This window comes from Homo sapiens, chromosome 22 (genome assembly GCF_000001405.40).
Source record: "Homo sapiens chromosome 22, GRCh38.p14 Primary Assembly".
In the NCBI taxonomy this organism is placed as follows: domain Eukaryota; kingdom Metazoa; phylum Chordata; class Mammalia; order Primates; family Hominidae; genus Homo; species Homo sapiens.
In genome coordinates, this window is record NC_000022.11 from 31,796,315 (window position 1) to 31,809,712 (window position 13,398).

General features: G+C 44.0%; 1 protein-coding gene across 39 annotated transcripts in view; it reads left to right on the forward strand.

The window, feature by feature from the left end:
- The window catches only part of DEPDC5 (DEP domain containing 5, GATOR1 subcomplex subunit), a 154,066-nt gene that overhangs the window by 42,347 nt on the left and 98,321 nt on the right, over nt 1–13,398 (forward strand). For 38 of the 39 annotated variants that reach the window (NR_157126.2, NR_146296.2, NR_157128.1 and 35 more), the window contains 7 exons: nt 1,286–1,389; nt 2,268–2,342; nt 6,390–6,524; nt 7,848–7,909; nt 8,528–8,601; nt 9,808–9,877; nt 13,297–13,333. Coding sequence is in view for 33 of the 39 variants with exons in the window: in NM_001364318.2 (NP_001351247.1) it covers nt 1,286–1,389; nt 2,268–2,342; nt 6,390–6,524; nt 7,848–7,909; nt 8,528–8,601; nt 9,808–9,877; nt 13,297–13,333 (557 nt within the window). In the remaining 6 variants the exon portion in view is untranslated. The remainder of the gene's footprint in view (nt 1–1,285; nt 1,390–2,267; nt 2,343–6,389; nt 6,525–7,847; nt 7,910–8,527; nt 8,602–9,807; nt 9,878–13,296; nt 13,334–13,398) is intronic. The other variant, NR_157125.2, reaches the window with a different exon arrangement.

Here is a 13,398-nt window from a genome sequence, read left to right on the forward strand (position 1 = left end):
GAATGGTCTCTATCTCCTGACCTCATGATCTGCCTGCTTAGGCCTCCCAGAGTGCTGGGATTACAGGCGTTAGCCACTGCCTGGCCCACTGTATCATTTTTTATTTCTACATAGAAATTACATTGGGTTACTATTGTTGAAAATTGAGGTGACTTCCAGCTTTTCACTATTCTCAACAGTATTGCCAGTGAACATTTTTACAGATAGGTTTTTAAGCATATCCTTAGTTTTTATGATAAATTGCCAGAAATGGAGCCATTAGGTCAAAGGATAGTCTGTGTTTTCAAGGCTTTCTATTTGTACAGCCAGTGTATGCTCCAAAACCATTAAAGTAGAAGATCTTGTTTTCCTAGCAGCAATTTCTGTGTTCTCACCAACAGTGAGTGCTCTTTTTTTTTTTGAGATGGAGTCTCGCTCTTTCTCCCAGGCTGGAGTGCAGTGGCTCGATCTCGGCTCACTGAAACCTCCGCCTCCTGGGTTCAAGCAATTCTCCTGCCTCAGCCTTCCAAGTAGCTGGGATTACAGGTGCCTGCCACCACACCCAGCTAATTTTTGTATTTTTAGTAGAGATGGGGTTTCACCGTGTTGGCCAGGCTGGTCTTGAACTCCTGACCACCTTATCCACCTGCCTGGGCCTCCCAAAGTACTGGAATTACAAGTATGAGCTACCATGCCCAGCCTCTTTTTTTTTTTTTTTTAATGCTTCTTTCCCAATTGGATTGGAAGAAAAACAAGCTCACTGAATCTTTTTTTTTTTTGAGACAGAGTCTTGCTCTGTCACCAAGGCTGGAGTGCAGTGGGGTTATCTCAGCTCACTGTACTCCAATTACACTCTTTTTGAAACCTTGTAAAGAACCTGATGTTCTGTATGTAAAGTTGCTGTATTAGTCCATTTTCTCACTGCTGTAAAGACATACCCAAGACTGGGTAATTTATAAAGAAAAAAGGTTTAATTGACTCATGGTTCTGCATGGCTCAGGAGGCCTCTGGAAACTTACAATCCTGGTGGAAGGCGAAGGGGAAGCAAGGCATGTCTTACCATGGTGAAGCAGGAGAAAGAGCGAGCTCAGGGGAAACTGCCCCTTTTAAACCATCAGATATCGTGAGAACTCCCTCACTATCACAAGAACAGCATGGAGGAAACCACCCCCATGATCCAGTCACCTCCCACCAGGTTCCTCCCTCGACACATGGGTATTACAATTTGAGATGAAATTTGGGAGGGGACACAGAGCCAAACCATATCAGCTGCTCAATATCCATTTTATGATAATACTCTTTTCAGAGTGGTGGTGCAGAATGAGAGAAGAGAAGAATGGACTTCACTTCTCGTAACCATTAAAAAACTCTTCATCCAGTATCCAGTGTTGGTGCGACTGGAACAGGCAGGTACTGCATTCATGTAATAGATGGTGCGGCGGGGAAAGGAAGTGTAGGAGGGGTCTGGGAGACAGAGAAGAGATGTGTGCTTGTTTCTCTCCCATTGCCGTGTGTAGTTTCTGCTTTTGGTCAGGGTTCTGTTTCCAGTTGGATCCAATTGTACATTTCGTATGCCGTAAGTTCAACAGTGTCCCTAATACAGGGAGTGAGGCCTTGTGGAGCCAGATGCCTTCCTTTTTTTTTTTTTTGAGACAGAGTCTCACTCTGTCACCCAGGCTGGACTGGAGTGGAGCAATTATACTGTAACTTTAAACCACTGGGGCTCAAGCAATCCTCCTGCCTCAGCCTCCCGGGTAGCTAGGACGACAGGCATGCACTACCATGCCCAGATAATTTTTTCATTTTTTTGTAGAGACAAGAGTCTCGCTGTGTTGACCAGGCTTGTTTCAAACTCCTCGTCTTAAGCGATCTTCCTGCCTCCACCTTCCAAAGTGCTGGGATTACAGGCATGAGCCACCATGCTCAGCTGCCACTTATTTAAGAGTTCATCTTTCAGCCAGGTGTGATGTCTCATGCCTGTAATCCCAGCACAAGGCAGGCGGATCACGAGGTCAGGAGTTCAAGACCAGCCTGACCAATATGGTGAAACCCTGTCTCTACTAAAAATACAAAAATTAGCCTTGTGTGGTGGCGTGCGCCTGTAGTCCCAGCTACTCGGGAGGCTGAGGCAGGAGAATCACTTGAACCTGGGAGGTGGAGGTTGCAGTGAGCCAAGATTGTGCTGCTCCACTCCAGCCTGGGTGACACAGCAAGGCTTCGTTTAAAATTAAAAAAAAAAGTTCATGTTTCATGAGATGTTTTTCTTTCTCTTGCATATTTTGCTTCAGAGGGCTTTCCTCAAGGAGATAATTCTACCTCAGCACAAGGAAACTACCTGGAGGCCATCAATCTGTCATTCAATGGTGAGTAAGGATGCCGGCCATGAGCCAGCATCTTGCCTACCACATGGCTATGTTACCGGAAAGGTGTCCTGATCCAGACCCTAAGAGAAGGTTCTTGGATCTTGCAGAAGAAAGAATTCAGGACCAGTCCACAGAATAAAGTGAAAGCAAGTATATTAAGAAAGTAAAGGAATAAAAGAATAGCTACTCCATAGAAAGAGCAGGGCATTCCCGAAAGCAAGAGGAGGAACACGTCCACCTTAGGTACAGTGGTTGTTTATATATAACAAAGCAAAAAGTCATGGGGGAGAGATGCTCTGCCGCAAGCACTCATGACAAAGGATTGTTCATCTTTGTGTAACTGCTGTCTTTCTCAAGAATCTATATTATTATCTTTAAAGCAAACTTACTTTTTTTTTTTTTTTTTGAGATGGAGTCTTGCTCTGTCGCCAGGCTGGAGTGCAGTGATGCGATCTTGGCTCACTGAAACCTCCCACTCCTGGGTTCAGGCGATTCTCCTGCCTCAGCCTCCTGAGTATCTGGGATTACAGGTGCGCATCACCACGCCCAGCTAATTTTGTATATTTTTAGGAGACACGGGGTTTCACCATGTTGGCCAGCATGGTCTCGATCTCCTGACCTCATGATCCACCTGCCTCAGCCTCCCAAAGTGTTGGGATTATAGGCATGAGCCACAGCACCTGGCCTTTTTTTTTTTTAAATATACTTTAAATTCTGGGATACACGTGCAGAATGTGCAGGTTTGTTACATAGATATACGTGTGCCATGGTGGTTTGCTGCACCTATCAACCCATCATCTGCATTAGGTATTTCTCTTAATGCTATTTTTTTTTTTTTTTTTCTGGGATGGAGTGTCGCTTTGTCATCCAGGCTGGAATGTAGTGGTGCAATCTTGACTCACTGCAACCTCCGCCTCCCAGGTTCAAGTGATTCTCCTGCCTCAGCCTCCTGAGTAGCCCTCAGCCTCCTGAGCAGCTGGGACTACAGGTGTGCACCACCATGCCCGGCTAATTTTTGTGTTTTTAGTAGAGATGAGGTTTCACCGTATTGGCCAGGCTGGTCTCGAGCTCCTGACCTCGTGATCCACCTACCTTGGCCTCCCAAAGTGTTGGGATTACAGGCATGAGCCACCATGCCCGGCCTTTTTTTTTTTTTTTTTTTTTTTTTTTGAGACAGAGTCTTACTCTGTCGCTAGGCTAGAGTGCAATGGCATGATCTCCCTGCTCAGTGCAACTCCCAGGTTCAAGCGATTCTCCTGCCTCAGCCTCCCAAGTAGCTGGGATCACAGGCACGTGCCACCACACCCAGCTAATTTTTGTGTTTTTAGTAGAGACAGGGTTGTACCATGTTGGTCAGGATGGTCTCGATCTCCTGACCTCGTGATCCGCCCACCTTGGCCTCCCAAAGTGCTGGGATTTCTGGTGTGAGCCACTGCACCTGGCTGCAAAACTTACTCCTAAACTAAGAATGCTTTTGTTTTTAAGATATTGGGACATCAGGGCATTTCCTGGGTCTATTAAGTCCTGAGTCTGTTGGAGAAACATTATTATCCTGTTCCCTTAACTGTAAACACCCTGTGACTAAGAATGTCTAACCTCCTAGGAATGCAGACTAGCAGGTGTGAGCCTCATTTTACCCAGCCCCTATTCAAGATGGAGTTGCTCTGGTTCAAAGGCCTCTGACAGCTATGCATGTCTCTTTATGAATGCCTGCAGACCCAGACCTAGGTGATGATGCCCCCACTCACCTACCCCCAAAATTAATTTAAAGCAATAGCTTCTCATTGGATGGTTGTAATGACCAACATTTAGCTCTTGGGTCTTCTGTTGGCCAGTTAATTTGGTAGTCATTTGCTTCTCATGGTCAGGAACTGGAAGGATCTTCCTTGGGTTCTTTGACTTACTCGAACTGTGTTATTATTTTCCACCCCATCCCTCAACTGCTTCTAGGTAATATTTTAAAAATCTACTTAAAAAATAAGAATTAAAATAAAAATTTTAAAAAATTAAAATCTACTTTAAAAAAAATTACAAAAATAGCCAGGTATGGTGGCTCACACCCATAATCCCAGCACTTTGGGAGGTTGAGGCGGACAGATCACTTGAGGTCAGGAGTTCAAGACCAGCCTGGGCAACATGGTGAAACCCTGTCTCTACTAAAAATACAAAAATTAGCCAGCATGGTGGCGCACACCTGTAATCTCAGCTACTCAGGAGGCTGAGACAGGAGAATCACTTGAACCTGGGAGGTGGAGGTTGTGGCGAGCAGAGATCACGCCGCTGCACTCCAACCTGGTTGATAGAAAAAGACACTATCTCAAAAAAAAATTCTTTTTTTTTTTTTTAAATAAATAGGCTGGCTGCAGTGGCTGACACCTGTAATACCAGCACTTTCGGAGGCTTAGGCAGCGGGATCACCTGAGGTCAGGAGCTCAAGAGCAGCCTGGCCAACATGGCGAAACCCCATCTTTACTAAAAATACATAAAAAACTTGCCAGGCATGGTGGTGCATGCCTGTCATACCAGCTACTTGGGAGGCTGAGGCAGGAAAATCACTTAAACCTGGGAGGTGGAGGTTGCAGTGAGCTGAGATTGTGCCACTGCATTCCAGCCTGGGTGATGGAGTTAGACTGTCTCAAATAAATGAATAAATAAATAATAAATAAAATTGTAAAAGTAACCATGTTACTAGAATTTGAATATGGAGAGGTATATCAAGTAAAAAATGATACCCTTCTCCTGCTCCCCAGTGTGAGTCCTTTTTTAAGGGGAACCATTGTTAGCAGTGTGGTATGATTATCCCGGCATTTATGTGTTAGCCGAAATATATTGTTTGCAAATAACAGAGATGTACTGATTTAGTTTAAACAAAAAGCGAAATTTACTGTAAGGATACAGAGGCTTAAATGGAGCAGCCAGGAAAGGCTCAAACACCATGTCGAAGAACCTTAGTGGCTCTGGGAACCATAGCAGCAGGAATTATGAGAGCCATATTTCAGCTTCCAGCAACCCTGTCTCTGCTCTCTGTTCAGAATTTACATTCCTGGTAGAGAGGGTCTGATCTGTTCAGCTCCAGTTAGGTGTCCATCTGCCACTGGCCAGAGGTGGAAGTGATGATACGCGTACACATCACTATGTATATCATCTTCCCACATGTCTGTACCCAGGTGCTCAGGGAATTCTAGAGCATAATGTCTTCTATTAGTAAATCTTCTTGTCATATTGGAATATCACTGATTTTTCATAGTAAGAATCATAGAGGCTAGAAATAAAAAGTGACTTGCCAGATTTACAAAGTCATCCCAAGATTTTGGTCTACTCTTTTAAATAGTGTCTTAAATTAATACTAATATAATCTAATTATATCATTAATATATATAATATTAAAATAATATATAATATATAAAATAATATAATCAAAGTTTTACTACAGATTCATTTATGGAAGGTTTAAATTAACAGCATGAATTTTTTTTTTTTTTTTTTTTTTTTAGACAGGTTCTTGCTCTGTTGCCCAGGCTGGAATGCAGTGGCACGATCTTGGCTCACTGCGCCTCTGCCTCCTGGGTTCAAGTGATTCTCCCATCTCAGCCTCCCACATAGCTGGGATTACAGGTGCACATCACCATGCCTGGCTAATTTTTGTATTTTTTGGTAGAGATGGAGTTTCACCATGTTGGCCAGGCTGGTCTCAAACTCCTGATTTCAAGTGATCCGCCTGCTTTGGCCTCCCAAAGTGCTGGGATTTCAGGCATGAGCCACCATACCCAGCCCTCACAGCATGAAATTTGAGCATTTAAGGCTGCACAGGGCAAGTATGAGGTGTCAATGAGGGGTATTAACAAAGGTGACAGCGACTTATTCCTGTGGTCAAGTAGTTCTTAATATGGAAGAGAAAAGACAGATGCGTATACATTTAACTAGAATGTGGCAGTTGCTATAATAAAAATATGGGCAGAATGCTCTGAGAGTGTAGAGATGCTTGTCTGTGACAGGGTTCTGAAAAGCTGTAACATCATTATTGTGGAATTTTTGTTTTATTTCTAGTGTTTGATAAGCACTACATCAACCGCAACTTTGACCGAACTGGGCAGATGTCAGTGGTGATCACGCCCGGGGTGGGTGTCTTTGAAGTGGACCGCCTACTCATGATCCTGACCAAGCAGCGGATGATAGATAATGGTAATGCTCTCTGGTTTGTGCCCTGTCTCCACATGTTCCTAGCCTGATTTCCCCTTAGAACTGTGAGCTTCACTGACTTCTTAGAGTGTGAGGAGCTCTACATAGTGTTCTGTGTGTCACAACGTCTGTGGATGTCAATAGGTGTCAGGTGCTAAAATTTCATGGTCAAATCAGTTTGGGAAATGCTGGGTCATGCAAAGATAAGCAGGTTCCATAATGACAGGTCTTCCTCAGTTTTTAATATGTTAGTGTAGGTTGTTTTTCTCTAAAGGTTGTGTCAGGGTACTCTGAGTTCCCCAAACATATTTGGCACTAGAGAAGCCTTCCTGGAGGGATGATTTCAAGGGACCCATGTGCTGTCAGCCGATTTTCTTTCTTTCTTTTTTTTTTTAGACGGAGTCTCGCTCTGTCTCCCAGGCTGGAGTGCAGTGGTGTGATCTTGGCTCACTGCAAGCTCCGCCTCCTGGGTTCACACTATTCTCCTGCCTCAGCCTCCCAAGTAGCTGGGACTACAGGCATCCGCCACCATGCCCGGCTAATTTTTTTTGTATTTTTAGTAGAGGTGGAGCTTCTCCGTGTTAGCCAGGATGGTCTCGATCTCCTGACCTTGTGATCCGCCCGTCTTGGCCTCCCAAAGTTCTAGGATTGCAGGCATGAGCCACCACACCCAGCCGCTGTCAGCCCATTTTCAGATGCACTATCAGGTCATCTAGTCCAGTCCTTCCTCCATGATGTGCCTCGTATCCCCAACTCAGCCCCACACCCCCCAATTTGATTTGTTTCATCAACAAGATGGAGTTGGGACGCTGAGGCAGTAGAATTGCTTGAACCCAGAAGGTGGAGGTTGCAGTGAGCCGTGATCTCACGCCACTGCATGTCAGCCTGGGCAGCAGAGCAAGACTGTCAAAAAAAAAAAGGAGTTTGGAAAGTAAATCCTGATGCCACTAAAGAAGCTCTGTTAAGTGATGTGGATTGTTTTACTTTTTACTGAGATATTACAAAGTTACTGTTCCTTTCTGGCCTTAAAAATTTAAACATGGAAGTTTGGTTGTCTTTTTTTAAACAAGTCATGACCTGTAGGACAGTCAAAGGCTAATTGTCAAGCACCGAATAATGATACGTTAGTAGGGCACTTGGAAAAGAGGAAACAGACAAAATGAATGTATTTACTTCTTTGTTGGATAGGCAGCACTATGAGGTTATAAATCATACAATGGTAAGTTAGCTTTGCCTACTACCCATTTAAATAACATGATTTATAGATAGGGACACTTGTCTCTGCCATTCCCTCCCCACAATTCTTTTTGTCTTTTCTTTTTTTAGGAATTGGTGTGGATTTGGTGTGCATGGGAGAGCAACCGTTACATGCTGTCCCATTGTTCAAGGTAATTAGATTTCGGATTTGTTTACTAAAGGCCAGTTGGAGTATAGTTAGAAAGAGAAAAATTCCAGGCGCTGTGGCATGCACTTATAGTCCCACTTACTCGAGAGGCTGAAGTGGGAAGATCCCTTAAGCCTAGGAGTTTCGGTATAGTTTGCTATGAACATGCCTATGAATAACCACTGCACTCCAGCCTGGGCAGCAAAGCAAGACTCTATCTCTAAAAAAATTATTTTTGAGACGATGTCTTGTTCTTGTCCTCCAGGCTGGAGTGCAATGGTGCGATGTTGGCTCACTGCAACCTCTGCCTCCCGGGTTCAATCAGTTCTCCTGCCTCAGCCTCCCGAGTAGCTATGATTACAGGCGCCTGCCACCATGCCAGGCTAATTTTTGTATTTTTAGTAGAGACGGGGTTTCACCATGTTGGCCAGGCTGGTCTTGAACACCTGATTGCAGGTGGTCCGCCCGCCTTGGCCTCCCAAATTGCTGGGATTACAGGCATGACCCACAGCGCCCAGCCCTAAAAAATTTTTTTTAAAAACCTGAAAAACAGAAAAGTTAGAGCAGTTCCAAAACCTACTTGTTCTGTAGCTTATCTGTGCTCTCATTTTTCTCCTTGCAGCTCCATAATCGGAGTGCTCCCCGTGATTCTCGTCTGGGCGATGACTATAATATCCCTCACTGGATAAACCACAGGTGGGTGCGATCTCGATCAATAGTAGGTGATAAGCGTTTTGAACAGCTTCCTTGCCATTTTTCTTTAAATCTGTTAAGTTCTTATTATGGCACTAAACCTTTTGTTAAGAAAATGTGGAAACCAAGTTCTAACATTTGCTCAAAGCTCTGTACACACAAAGCAGTAGCAGTATCATAGGAACAGTCTATGGTGAAAAAGAATAAAAACAAAATTTGAAGGACTTACTTCCTCTGCAGTTCCCATGTCCTTCTATTCCCAACTCCCACAGACTGTAGAAGACCAACATTTGTACCTGACCTCCTTCAGCTCTAGAGAAGTCCCCGCGCCTCTTTACATGGAATCCTGCTGATTCCAGCTCAGGGATGGCTTTTCTCATCCCTCTGCCAGTGCCAGTGCCTCATCTTTTTGAACTATGACACTAATCTTATTCCACCTACCCTTCTCCTGAAAATGCCTATTTTCTTCCAAGATCCAACTCCAGCATCTCTCTTTTATGAATTCCTCCTGTGCTGCCCTGATAGCTAACAGCCACTTTTTCTTCAGTGCTTCCAGAGCATTCTATCCTTCTCTGGGTTGTCTTTCTTTCTTTCTTTTTTTTTTTTAAGACGGAGTTTCACTCTGTCACCCAGGCTGGAGTGCAGTGACATGATCTTGGCTCACTGCAACCTCCACCACCCGGGTTCAAGTGATTCTCTTGCCTCAGCCTCCTGCGTAGTTGGGATTACAGGTGCCTGCCGCCACGCCCGGCTAATTTTTGTATTTTTAGTAGAAACGAGATTTCACTGTGTTGGCCAACCTGGTCTTGAATAGCAAGTTCATGGCAAAGCTGCAGCTATTAGTTTATACTATTTGATATCATGATATTAGACTGTTTTTGACCTACAAAAGTAGCAATTTCAGGCCGGTCACAGTGGCTCATGCCTGTAATCCCAGCACTTTGGGATGCTGAGGTGGGAGGAATGCTTGAGGCCAGGAGTTTGAAACCATTTTGGTCAGTGTAGCCAGACTCTGTCTCTACCAAAAAACAAAACATAACTAATGTTTTGTAGTGAATTCTTGTAAAAGAAGTTAAAATTGGGAAGATTAGTGAAGCTGAGAACAAAGCCCATGTCAGGAGGGCTGATCCATGCCTAGTATTTTAACTGTGTTTTGAGTTTTAAAATAAAGGGAATTTAGATTAATGACTCTGTTTGTTTCTTTTACAGTTTCTACACATCCAAAAGCCAGCTCTTTTGTAATAGTTTCACCCCACGAATAAAACTGGCAGGAAAGAAGGTAGGTTTTTATTTTTGTTAAGACGGGGTCTTATTATGTGGTCCAGTCTTATCTTGAGCTCCTGGACTCAATCAGTCCTCCTGTTTCAGCCTCCCAAAGTGTTGGGATTACAGACATGAGCCATTCTGCCCAGCCAAGAAGGTAGATTTCATTAATCAGCAGAGAGCCTTTGTGGACTATCACGCATTGATAGGGTTATTTTAGTCCTGAGGTACCCTCATCTTTCCCAATGGCCATGAACAGGGTTAAGAAATTCATCCCCAAACTTTATAACTTTATACATTAGATAAATAAATAACAAGGCCAAGGCCAGACTGCGTGAAATACCTTTGAGAAAAATATGACCAAGACCAAGAGTTCATTTTTTGTTTGTTTGTTTAAGAGTTCGTTTTATTGTGACCTGACTGTTTTATTCAGATGTTGAAGCCACTCAGATACCAGTGGGGATAAAGACAAAGATGCAGATATGCATTGCAGCAAAGGGGAAATATGATAAAAAGGTCAGATCTTAGTATAAAGAAATGAAAATTCTGGCTGTGTGCAGTGGCTCTTGCCTGTAACCCCAGTGCTTTGGGTGGCTGAGGAAGGAGGATTGTTTGAAGCCAGGAGTTTGAGACCGATCTGGGCAACAAATATAGTGAGACCCCATTTCTGTAAAAACTAAAAAAGAATTAGCCAGGTGTATTGGCACATACCTGTAGTCCCAGCTACTTGGGAGGCTAAAACGGGAAGATTGCCCAAGCCCAGGAATCCATTGCTGTGGTGAGCTATAATTGCGCCATTGCACGCTAACCTGGGTGGCTAAGTGAGATCTTGTCTCTGGAAACAAACAAACCAAGAAAATAAATGAAAATTGTAACAAGAGTGGGAATTCTTGTTTTCTTCTTTCCAAAGAGGTTTAAAATATATTAATAATTATATCACATGCTACAAAAAGTGTGGTGAAATTGACACTTGAGTACCTGGTTGGTGTACCATACTTTTGCAAAGCATTTCAGCCATGTGTATTGAGAGCAAATGTTTATGCTATTTGAACCAGGCACTTCCATTTTGGGGCATGCGATGTAAGGAAATAATTGAAGTGATAATATGCAAATACATCTGGGTTTAGTTTTATTTATAATTGTGAGAAGTTGAAAACAATAGATCAATGGCTGAAATATGAAATATCCACTTGATGGAATATATTTGCAACTGATAAAAATGCAAGTTTTAAGAATTTTAACAAGTGTTTGTTGTTGTCGTTGTTTGTTTTTTTGAGATGGAATCTTGCTCTGTCTCCCAAGCTGGAGTGCAGTGGCGTGATCTTGGCTTACTGCAACTTCTGCCTCCCAGGTTCAAGCAATTCCTGTGCCCTAGCCTCCTGAGTAGCTGGGATTACAGGCACCCGCCACCACACCCAGCCTAATTTTTGTATTTTTAGTGGAGACAGGGTTTCACATGTTGGCCAGGGTTGTCTCAAACTCTTGATTTCAAGTGACCCACCCGCCTCAGCCTCCCAAAGTGCTGGGATTATAGGCGTGAGCCACTGCACCCGGCCAGAACTCGAAAAAGTGGTTTTGATGTACTGTGAGAAGAAAAGCAGGCTGTTATGTTTGCAGGCCCCACACCCGAGTGCTCTCACCCCTCTGCCCTTTCCTAGTAGAGCTGAATTCACTGAGGGTTGCTCCATTTGTGGCTGTGTGTCAGGGCCTCTTATTCCCTTTTCTTTTTTTAGGGGGGAGGGCTGTTAATGTTACTCTTCTAATAAGGGAAATACTAATTTGGAGCAATCTGAGGACTCCTGACATAAGCCATGTCAGATAGTGAAGTGCTAGGAGATGGGATTCTGTATAGAAAGGGCCTCTCTTGCCTTCACCACAAGCATTCTCAGCAAAGTAGAACATGGAAAAACTTCTCTGCACCATGATTATTTTATTTTTTTTTTGAGACAGAGTCTCGCTCTGTCATGCCCAGTGTAGTGGTGGGATCTCGGCTCACTGCAACCTCTGCCTTCTGGGTTCAATCAGTTTTCGTGCCCCAGCCTCCCCAATAGCTAGGACTACAGGCACATGCCACCATGCCTAATTTTTTTTTTTTTTTTTTGAGATGGAGTCTCTCTCTCTGTGGCCCAGGCTGGAGTGCAGTGGTGCGATCTTGGCTCACTGTAACCTCTGCCTCCAGGGTTCAAGTGATTCTCCTCTCTCAGCCTCCCAAGTAGCTGGGATTACAGGTGTGCGCCACCATGTCCAGCTAATTTTTGTATTATTTTTTATTTTTTTGAGATAGAGTTTCACTCTGTCTCCCAGGCTGGAGTGCAATGGCACAATCTCGGCTCACTGCAACCTCCATCTCCTGGGTTCACGTGATTCTCCTGCCTCAGCCTCCAGAGAAGCTGGGATTACAGGTGCCTGCCACCACGCCCAGCTAATTTTTTGTGTTTTTAGTAGAGACGAGGTTTCACCATGTTGGCCAGGCTGGTCTTGAACTCCTGACCTCAGGTGATCCATCTTGGCCTCCCAAAGTGCTGGGATTACAGGTGTGAGCCACCATGCCCAGCTAATTTTTGTATTTTTAGTAGAGATGGGGTTTCACCATGTTGGCCAGGCTGGTACTCCTGACAACCTCAGGTGATCTACCTGTCTCGGCTTCCCAAAGTGCTGGGATTACAGGCATGAGCCTTTGTACTCGGCTACCATGATCATTTTAAAGAAGCAAGAGTTAGTATTGTTGTGAAAGTTTTCAGGGTCCTGAAAGATTAAATATATATATATAAAAATAGAGATGGGGTCTTACTGTGTTGCTCAGGCTAGTCTCAAACTCCTGGGCCCAAGCAATCCTCCTGCCTTGGGCTCCCAAGGTGCTGGGATTACAGGCGTGAACCACTGTGCCTGGCCTTTATTTATTTATTTAATCTGAAAAAGATCTTTAAGAAAATGTAAAAAGTGATAGCTCTATTAGTTTTTTTTCCTCTACCCTTGTACTTCATTTCAGCAAATTGGGTGATATACAGAGTGCTCAGCTCTGGTAGGTGTAGGCAGACAGGTGACAGCACCGTAGTGAAGGGGGAGGCATGCAGCATTTGGGTCAGGTGGGACAAACACAACAGTGGATTGACCAAGAATCTAAAGATCTGGTCTTGAATTTTGGCTCTGCCACCTGCTGAATGTGTGGCTTTGGGTAAAGTCCCTTATTCTCTCTGCAATTGAATATCCCCACTTGTAAGGGGCAGTCCATTCCCCCAGTGGACAGGTTTGTGAGAGGCAACAAGATGTGATACGGGAATAAAGGACCGTGGTAGGTAGGTGTCAGATGTTAGCTCCTGCCTTTCTGTCAGTTACAGGCTGTCTTCCCTGGGAGCAGCACATATATACTGTGCCTTGTGATAAGTTCTTTTCTAGCGAAGGAAGGAGTGATTAATTATCTATTTAATTTTTCAGCCCGCCTCTGAGAAAGCAAAAAATGGCCGTGATACATGTGAGTATTTTTTGAGATTTTTTTTCTTGCTTTTAAAAAGAGAGTCAGCTGGCTGGGTGCAGTGG